General features: G+C 39.0%; 1 annotated feature.

Annotated features, from left to right (window-relative positions):
• Positions 1–10,896: part of a centromere (Linear centromere model derived predominantly from reads generated in PMID: 17803354. This region does not represent an actual centromere sequence, as long-range ordering of repeats and unmapped WGS contigs is not provided by the model. For details of model production, see http://arxiv.org/abs/1307.0035.) that runs on past both edges of the window.

Below are 10,896 nucleotides of genomic sequence, written 5' to 3' on the forward strand. Positions count from 1 at the left end.
TTCTCAGTAACTTCTTTGTGCTGTGTGTATTCAACTCACAGAGTGGAACGTCCCTTTACACAGAGCAGATTTGAAACACTCTTTTTGTGGAATTTGCAAGTGGAGATTTCAAGCGATTTGATGCCAACAGTAGAAAAGGAAATATCTTCAAATAAAAACTAGACAGAATCATTCTCAGAAACTACTTTGTGATGTGTGCCTTCAACTCACAGAGTTTAACCTTTCTTTTCTTAGAGCAGTTTAGAAACACTCTGCTTGTTATGTCTGCAAGTGGATATTTGGACCTCTTTGAGGCCTTCGTTGCAAACGGGGTTTCTTCCTTTCATGCTAGACTAAGAAGAGTTCTCAGTAACTTTTTTGTGTTGTGTGTATTCAACTCACAGAGTTGAACCTTGCTTTAGAGAGAGCAGATTTGAAACACTCTTGCTGTGGCATTTTCAGGTGGAGATTTCAAGCGATTTGAGGACAATTGCAGAAAAGGAAATATCTTCGTATAATAACCAGACAGAATCATTCTCAGAAAGTGCTTTGTGATGTGTGCGTTCCACTCACAGAGTTTAACCTTTCTTTTCATAGAGGAGTTTGGAAACACACTGTTTGTAAACTCTGCAAGTGGATATATGGACCTGTTTGAGGCCTTCGTTGGAAACGGGATTTCTTCATTGAATGCTAGACGGAAGAATTCTCAGTAAATACTTTGTGTTGTGTGCATTCAACTGACAGAGTGGAACGTCCCTTTAGACAGAGCAGATTTGAAACACTCTTTTTGCGGAATTTGCAAGTGGAGATTTCTAGCCATTTGATGCCAACAGTAGAAAGGGAAATATCTTCAAATAAAAACCAGACAGAATCATTCTCAGAAAATTCTTTGTGATGTGTGCGTTCAACTCACATAGTTTAACCTTTCTTTTCATAGAGCAGTTTGGAAACACTCTGTTTGTAAAGTCTGCAAGTGGATATATGGACCGCATTGAGGCCTTCGTTGGAAACGGGATTTCTTCATTTCATGCTAGACAGAAGAATTCTCAGTAACTTCTTTGTGCTGTGTGTATTCAACTCACAGAGTAGAACGTCCCTTTACACAGAGCAGATTTGAAACACTCTTTTTGTGGAGTTTGCAAGTGGAGATTTCAAGCGATTTGATGCCAACAGTAGAAAAGGAAATATCTTCAAATAAAAACTAGACAGAATCATTCTCAGAAACTACTTTGTGATGTGTGCCTTCAACTCACAGAGTTTAACCTTTCTTTTCTTAGAGCAGTTTAGAAACACTCTGCTTGTTATGTCTGCAAGTGGATATTTGGACCTCTTTGAGGCCTTCGTTGCAAACGGGGTTTCTTCCTTTAATGCTAGACTAAGAAGAGTTCTCAGTAACTTTTTTGTGTTGTGTGTATTCAACTCACAGAGTTGAACCTTGCTTTAGAGAGAGCAGATTTGAAACACTCTTGCTGTGGCATTTTCCGGTGGAGATTTCAAGCGATTTGAGGACAATTGCAGAAAAGGAAATATCTTCGTATAATAACCAGACAGAATCATTCTCAGAAAGTGCTTTGTGATGTGTGCGTTCAACTCACAGAGTTTAACCTTTCTTTTCATAGAGGAGTTTGGAAACACACTGTTTGTAAAGTCTGCAATTGGATATATGGACCTGTTTGAGGCCTTCGTTGGAAACGGGATTTCTTCATTGAATGCTAGACGGAAGAATTCTCAGTAAATTCTTTGTGTTGTGTGCATTCAACTCACAGAGTGGAACGTCCCTTTAGACAGAGCAGATTTGAAACACTCTTTTTGCGGAATTTGCAAGTGGAGATTTCTAGCCATTTGATGCCAACAGTAGAAAGGGAAATATCTTCAAATAAAAACCAGACAGAATCATTCTCAGAAAATTCTTTGTGATGTGTGCGTTCAACTCACATAGTTTAACCTTTCTTTTCATAGAGCAGTTTGGAAACACTCTGTTTGTAAAGTCTGCAAGTGGATATATGGACCGCATTGAGGCCTTCGTTGGAAACGGGATTTCTTCATTTCATGCTAGACAGAAGAATTCTCAGTAACTTCTTTGTGCTGTGTGTATTCAACTCACAGAGTGGAACGTCCCTTTACACAGAGCAGATTTGAAACACTCTTTTTGTGGAGTTTGCAAGTGGAGATTTCAAGCGATTTGATGCCAACAGTAGAAAAGGAAATATCTTCAAATAAAAACTAGACAGAATCATTCTCAGAAACTACTTTGTGATGTGTGCCTTCAACTCACAGAGTTTAACCTTTCTTTTCTTAGAGCAGTTTAGAAACACTCTGCTTGTTATGTCTGCAAGTGGATATTTGGACCTCTTTGAGGCCTTCGTTGCAAACGGGGTTTCTTCCTTTCATGCTAGACTAAGAAGAGTTCTCAGTAACTTTTTTGTGTTGTGTGTATTCAACTCACAGAGTTGAACCTTGCTTTAGAGAGAGCAGATTTGAAACACTCTTGCTGTGGCATTTTCAGGTGGAGATTTCAAGCGATTTGAGGACAATTGCAGAAAAGGAAATATCTTCGTATAATAACCAGACAGAATCATTCTCAGAAAGTGCTTTGTGATGTGTGCGTTCCACTCACAGAGTTTAACCTTTCTTTTCATAGAGGAGTTTGGAAACAAACTGTTTGTAAACTCTGCAAGTGGATATATGGACCTGTTTGAGGCCTTCGTTGGAAACGGGATTTCTTCATTGAATGCTAGACGGAAGAATTCTCAGTAAATTCTTTGTGTTGTGTGCATTCAACTGACAGAGTGGAACGTCCCTTTAGACAGAGCAGATTTGAAACACCCTTTTTGCGGAATTTGCAAGTGGAGATTTCTAGCCATTTGATGCCAACAGTAGAAAGGGAAATATCTTCAAATAAAAACCAGACAGAATCATTCTCAGAAAATTCTTTGTGATGTGTGCGTTCAACTCACATAGTTTAACCTTTCTTTTCATAGAGCAGTTTGGAAACACTCTGTTTGTAAAGTCTGCAAGTGGATATATGGACCGCATTGAGGCCTTCGTTGGAAACGGGATTTCTTCATTTCATGCTAGACAGAAGAATTCTCAGTAACTTCTTTGTGCTGTGTGTATTCAACTCACAGACTGGAACGTCCCTTTGCACAGAGCAGATTTGAAACACTCTTTTTGTGGAGTTTGCAAGTGGAGATTTCAAGCGATTTGATGCCAACAGTAGAAAAGGAAATATCTTCAAATAAAAACTAGACAGAATCATTCTCAGAAACTACTTTGTGATGTGTGCCTTCAACTCACAGAGTTTAACCTTTCTTTTCTTAGAGCAGTTTAGAAACACTCTGCTTGTTATGTCTGCAAGTGGATATTTGGACCTCTTTGAGGCCTTCGTTGCAAACGGGGTTTCTTCCTTTCATGCTAGACTAAGAAGAGTTCTCAGTAACTTTTTTGTGTTGTGTGTATTCAACTCACAGAGTTGAACCTTGCTTTAGAGAGAGCAGATTTGAAACACTCTTGCTGTGGCATTTTCAGGTGGAGATTTCAAGCGATTTGAGGACAATTGCAGAAAAGGAAATATCTTCGTATAATAACCAGACAGAATCATTCTCAGAAAGTGCTTTGTGATGTGTGCGTTCAACTCACAGAGTTTAACCTTTCTTTTCATAGAGGAGTTTGGAAACACACTGTTTGTAAAGTCTGCAAGTGGATATATGGACCTGTTTGAGGCCTTCGTTGGAAACGGGATTTCTTCATTGAATGGTAGACGGAAGAATTGCTCAGTAAATTCTTTGTGTTGTGTGCATTCAACTCACAGAGTGGAACGTCCCTTTAGACAGAGCAGATTTGAAACACTCTTTTTGCGGAATTTGCAAGTGGAGATTTCTAGCCATTTGATGCCAACAGTAGAAAGGGAAATATCTTCAAATAAAAACCAGACAGAATCATTCTCAGAAAATTCTTTGTGATGTGTGCGTTCAACTCACATAGTTTAACCTTTCTTTTTATAGAGCAGTTTGGAAACACTCTGTTTGTAAAGTCTGCAAGTGGATATATGGACCGCATTGAGGCCTTCGTTGGAAACGGGATTTCTTCATTTCATGCTAGACAGAAGAATTCTCAGTAACTTCTTTGTGCTGTGTGTATTCAACTCACAGAGTGGAACGTCCCTTTGCACAGAGCAGATTTGAAACACTCTTTTTGTGGAGTTTGCAAGTGGAGATTTCAAGCGATTTGATGCCAACAGTAGAAAAGGAAATATCTTCAAATAAAAACTAGACAGAATCATTCTCAGAAACTACTTTGTGATGTGTGCCTTCAACTCACAGAGTTTAACCTTTCTTTTCATAGAGCAGTTTAGAAACACTCTGCTTGTTATGTCTGCAAGTGGATATTTGGACCTCTTTGAGGCCTTCGTTGCAAACGGGGTTTCTTCCTTTCATGCTAGACTAAGAAGAGTTCTCAGTAACTTTTTTGTGTTGTGTGTATTCAACTCACAGAGTTGAACCTTGCTTTAGAGAGAGCAGATTTGAAACACTCTTGCTGTGGCATTTTCAGGTGGAGATTTCAAGCGATTTGAGGACAATTGCAGAAAAGGAAATATCTTCGTATAACAACCAGACAGAATCATTCTCAGAAAGTGCTTTGTGATGTGTGCGTTCAACTCACAGAGTTTAACCTTTCTTTTCATAGAGGAGTTTGGAAACACACTGTTTGTAAAGTCTGCAATTGGATATATGGATCTGTTTGAGGCCTTCGTTGGAAACGGGATTTCTTCATTGAATGCTAGACGGAAGAATTCTCAGTAAATTCTTCGTGTTGTGTGCATTCAACTCACAGAGTGGAACGTCCCTTTAGACAGAGCAGATTTGAAACACTCTTTTTGCGGAATTTGCAAGTGGAGATTTCTAGCCATTTGATGCCAACAGTAGAAAGGGAAATATCTTCAAATAAAAACCAGACAGAATCATTCTCAGAAAATTCTTTGTGATGTGTGCGTTCAACTCACATAGTTTAACCTTTCTTTTCATAGAGCAGTTTGGAAACACTCTGTTTGTAAAGTCTGCAAGTGGATATATGGACCGCATTGAGGCCTTCGTTGGAAACGGGATTTCTTCATTTCATGCTAGACAGAAGAATTCTCAGTAACTTCTTTGTGCTGTGTGTATTCAACTCACAGAGTGGAACGTCCCTTTGCACAGAGCAGATTTGAAACACTCTTTTTGTGGAGTTTGCAAGTGGAGATTTCAAGCGATTTGATGCCAACAGTAGAAAAGGAAATATCTTCAAATAAAAACTAGACAGAATCATTCTCAGAAACTACTTTGTGATGTGTGCCTTCAACTCACAGAGTTTAACCTTTCTTTTCTTAGAGCAGTTTAGAAACACTCTGCTTGTTATGTCTGCAAGTGGATATTTGGACCTCTTTGAGGCCTTCGTTGCAAACGGGGTTTCTTCCTTTCATGCTAGACTAAGAAGAGTTCTCAGTAACTTTTTTGTGTTGTGTGTATTCAACTCACAGAGTTGAACCTTGCTTTAGAGAGAGCAGATTTGAAACACTCTTGCTGTGGCATTTTCAGGTGGAGATTTCAAGCGTTTTGAGGACAATTGCAGAAAAGGAAATATCTTCGTATAATAACCAGACAGAATCATTCTCAGAAAGTGCTTTGTGATGTGTGCGTTCCACTCACAGAGTTTAACCTTTCTTTTCATAGAGGAGTTTGGAAACACACTGTTTGTAAAGTCTGCAAGTGGATATATGGACCTGTTTGAGGCCTTCGTTGGAAACGGGATTTCTTCATTGAATGCTAGACGGAAGAATTCTCAGTAAATTCTTTGTGTTGTGTGCATTCAACTCACAGAGTGGAACGTCCCTTTAGACAGAGCAGATTTGAAACACTCTTTTTGCGGAATTTGCAAGTGGAGATTTCTAGCCATTTGATGCCAACAGTAGAAAGGGAAATATCTTCAAATAAAAACCAGACAGAATCATTCTCAGAAAATTCTTTGTGATGTGTGCGTTCAACTCACATAGTTTAACCTTTCTTTTCTTAGAGCAGTTTAGAAACACTCTGCTTGTTATGTCTGCAAGTGGATATTTGGACCTCTTTGAGGCCTTCGTTGCAAACGGGGTTTCTTCCTTTCATGCTAGACTAAGAAGAGTTCTCAGTAACTTTTCTGTGTTGTGTGTATTCAACTCACAGAGTTGAACCTTGCTTTAGAGAGAGCAGATTTGAAACACTCTTGCTGTGACATTTTCAGGTGGAGATTTCAAGCGATTTGAGGACAATTGCAGAAAAGGAAATATCTTCGTATAACAACCAGACAGAATCATTCTCAGAAAGTGCTTTGTGATGTGTGCGTTCAACTCACAGAGTTTAACCTTTCTTTTCATAGAGGAGTTTGGAAACACACTGTTTGTAAAGTCTGCAATTGGATATATGGACCTGTTTGAGGCCTTCGTTGGAAACGGGATTTCTTCATTGACTGCTAGACGGAAGAATTCTCAGTAAATTCTTTGTGTTGTGTGCATTCAACTCCCAGAGCGGAACGTCCCTTTAGACAGAGCAGATTTGAAACACTCTTTTTGCGGAATTTGCAAGTGGAGATTTCTAGCCATTTGATGCCAACAGTAGAAAGGGAAATATCTTCAAATAAAAACCAGACAGAATCATTCTCAGAAAATTCTTTGTGATGTGTGCGTTCAACTCACATAGTTTAACCTTTCTTTTCATAGAGCAGTTTGGAAACACTCTGTTTGTAAAGTCTGCAAGTTGATATATGGACCGCATTGAGGCCTTCGTTGGAAACGGGATTTCTTCATTTCATGCTAGACAGAAGAATTCTCAGTAACTTCTTTGTGCTGTGTGTATTCAACTCACAGAGTGGAACGTTCCTTTACACAGAACAGATTTGAAACACTCTTTTTGTGGAATTTGCAAGTGGAGATTTCAAGCGATTTGATGCCAACAGTAGAAAAGGAAATATCTTCAAATAAAAACTAGACAGAATCATTATCAGAAACTACTTTGTGATGTGTGCCTTCAACTCACAGAGTTTAACCTTTCTTTTCTTAGAGCAGTTTAGAAACACTCTGCTTGTTATGTCTGCAAGTGGATATTTGGACCTCTTTGAGGCCTTCGTTGCAAACGGGGTTTCTTCCTTTCATGCTAGACTAAGAAGAGTTCTCAGTAACTTTTTTGTGTTGTGTGTATTCAACTCACAGAGTTGAACCTTGCTTTAGAGAGAGCAGATTTGAAACACTCTTGCTGTGGCATTTTCAGGTGGAGATTTCAAGCGTTTTGAGGACAATTGCAGAAAAGGAAATATCTTCGTATAATAACCAGACAGAATCATTCTCAGAAAGTGCTTTGTGATGTGTGCGTTCAACTCACAGAGTTTAACCTTTCTTTTCATAGAGGAGTTTGGAAACACACTGTTTGTAATGTCTGCAATTGGATATATGGACCTGTTTGAGGCCTTCGTTGGAAACGGGATTTCTTCATTGAATGCTAGACGGAAGAATTCTCAGTAAATTCTTTGTGTTGTGTGCATTCAACTCACAGAGTGGAACGTCCCTTTAGACAGAGCAGATTTGAAACACTTTTTGGCGGAATTTGCAAGTGGAGATTTCTAGCCATTTGATGCCAACAGTAGAAAGGGAAATATCTTCAAATAAAAACCAGACAGAATCATTCTCAGAAAATTCTTTGTGATGTGTGCGTTCAACTCACATAGTTTAACCTTTCTTTTCATAGAGCAGTTTGGAAACACTCTGTTTGTAAAGTCTGCAAGTGGATATAGGGACCGCATTGAGGCCTTCGTTGGAAACGGGATTTCTTCATTTCATGCTAGACAGAAGAATTCTCAGTAACTTCTTTGTGCTGTGTGTATTCAACTCACAGAGTGGAACGTCCCTTTGCACAGAGCAGATTTGAAACACTCTTTTTGTGGAGTTTGCAAGTGGAGATTTCAAGCGATTTGATGCCAACAGTAGAAAAGGAAATATCTTCAAATAAAAACTAGACAGAATCATTCTCAGAAACTACTTTGTGATGTGTGCCTTTAACTCACAGAGTTTAACCTTTCTTTTCTTAGAGCAGTTTAGAAACACTCTGCTTGTTATGTCTGCAAGTGGATATTTGGACCTCTTTGAGGCCTTCGTTGCAAACGGGGTTTCTTCCTTTAATGCTAGACTAAGAAGAGTTCTCAGTAACTTTTTTGTGTTGTGTGTATTCAACTCACAGAGTTGAACCTTGCTTTAGAGAGAGCAGATTTGAAACACTCTCGCTGTGGAATTTTCAGGTGGAGATTTCAAGCGATTTGAGGACAATTGCAGAAAAGGAAATATCTTCGTATAATTACCAGACAGAATCATTCTCAGAAAGTGCTTTGTGATGTGTGCGTTCCACTCACAGAGTTTAACCTTTCTTTTCATAGAGGAGTTTGGAAACACACTGTTTGTAAAGTCTGCAATTGGATATATGGACCTGTTTGAGGCCTTCGTTGGAAACGGGATTTCTTCATTGAATGCTAGACGGAAGAATTCTCAGTAAATTCTTTGTGTTGTGTGCATTCAACTGACAGAGTGGAACGTCCCTTTAGACAGAGCAGATTTGAAACACTCTTTTTGCGGAATTTGCAAGTGGAGATTTCTAGCCATTTGATGCCAACAGTAGAAAGGGAAATATCTTCAAATAAAAACCAGACAGAATCATTCTCAGAAAATTCTTTGTGATGTGTGCGTTCAACTCACATAGTTTAACCTTTCTTTTCATAGAGCAGTTTGGAAACACTCTGTTTGTAAAGTCTGCAAGTGGATCTATGGACCGCATTGAGGCCTTCGTTGGAAACGGGATTTCTTCATTTCATGCTAGACAGAAGAATTCTCAGTAACTTCTTTGTGCTGTGTGTATTCAACTCACAGAGTGGAACGTCCCTTTACACAGAGCAGATTTGAAACACTCTTTTTGTGGAGTTTGCAAGTGGAGATTTCAAGCGATTTGATGCCAACAGTAGAAAAGGAAATATCTTCAAATAAAAACTAGACAGAATCATTCTCAGAAACTACTTTGTGATGTGTGCCTTCAACTCACAGAGTTTAACCTTTCTTTTCTTAGAGCAGTTTAGAAACACTCTGCTTGTTATGTCTGCAAGTGGATATTTGGACCTCTTTGAGGCCTTCGTTGCAAACGGGGTTTCTTCCTTTCATGCTAGACTAAGAAGAGTTCTCAGTAACTTTTTTGTGTTGTGTGTATTCAACTCACAGAGTTGAACCTTGCTTTAGAGAGAGCAGATTTGAAACACTCTTGCTGTGGCATTTTCAGGTGGAGATTTCAAGCGATTTGAGGACAATTGCAGAAAAGGAAATATCTTCGTATAATAACCAGACAGAATCATTCTCAGAAAGTGCTTTGTGATGTGTGCGTTCAACTCACAGAGTTTAACCTTTCTTTTCATAGAGGAGTTTGGAAACACACTGTTTGTAAAGTCTGCAAGTGGATATATGGACCTGTTTGAGGCCTTCATTGGAAACGGGATTTCTTCATTGAATGCTAGACGGAAGAATTCTCAGTAAATTCTTTGTGTTGTGTGCATTCAACTGACAGAGTGGAACGTCCCTTTAGACAGAGCAGATTTGAAACACTCTTTTTGCGGAATTTGCAAGTGGAGATTTCTAGCCATTTGATGCCAACAGTAGAAAAGGAAATATCTTCAAATAAAAACTAGACAGAATCATTCTCAGAAACTACTTTGTGATGTGTGCCTTCAACTCACAGAGTTTAACCTTTCTTTTCTTAGAGCAGTTTAGAAACACTCTGCTTGTTATGTCTGCAAGTGGATATTTGGACCTCTTTGAGGCCTTCGTTGCAAACGGGGTTTCTTCCTTTCATGCTAGACTAAGAAGAGTTCTCAGTAACTTTTTTGTGTTGTGTGTATTCAACTCACAGAGTTGAACCTTGCTTTAGAGAGAGCAGATTTGAAACACTCTTGCTGTGGCATTTTCAGGTGGAGATTTCAAGCGATTTGAGGACAATTGCAGAAAAGGAAATATCTTCGTATAATAACCAGACAGAATCATTCTCAGAAAGTGCTTTGTGATGTGTGCGTTCAACTCACAGAGTTTAACCTTTCTTTTCATAGAGGAGTTTGGAAACACACTGTTTGTAAAGTCTGCAATTGGATATATGGACCTGTTTGAGGCCTTCGTTGGAAACGGGATTTCTTCATTGCATGCTAGACGGAAGAATTCTCAGTAAATTCTTTGTGTTGTGTGCATTCAACTCACAGAGTGGAACGTCCCTTTAGACAGAGCAGATTTGAAACACTCTTTTTGCGGAATTTGCAAGTGGAGATTTCTAGCCATTTGATGCCAACAGTAGAAAAGGAAATATCTTCAAATAAAAACTAGACAGAATCATTCTCAGAAACTACTTTGTGATGTGTGCCTTCAACTCACAGAGTTTAACCTTTCTTTTCTTAGAGCACTTTAGAAACACTCTGCTTGTTATGTCTGCAAGTGGATATTTGGACCTCTTTGAGGCCTTCGTTGCAAACGGGGTTTCTTCCTTTAATGCTAGACTAAGAAGAGTTCTCAGTAACTTTTTTGTGTTGTGTGTATTCAACTCACAGAGTTGAACCTTGCTTTAGAGAGAGCAGATTTGAAACACTCTTGCTGTGGCATTTTCAGGTGGAGATTTCAAGCGATTTGAGGACAATTGCAGAAAAGGAAATATCTTCGTATAATAACCAGACAGAATCATTCTCAGAAAGTGCTTTGTGATGTGTGCGTTCAACTCACAGAGTTTAACCTTTCTTTTCATAGAGGAGCTTGGAAACACACTGTTTGTAAAGTCTGCAAGTGGATATATGGACCTGTTTGAGGCCTTCGTTGGAAACGGGATTTCTTCATTGAATGCTAGA

This window comes from Homo sapiens, chromosome 7 (assembly GCF_000001405.40).
Source record: "Homo sapiens chromosome 7, GRCh38.p14 Primary Assembly".
Classification (NCBI taxonomy): Eukaryota; Metazoa; Chordata; class Mammalia; order Primates; family Hominidae; genus Homo; species Homo sapiens.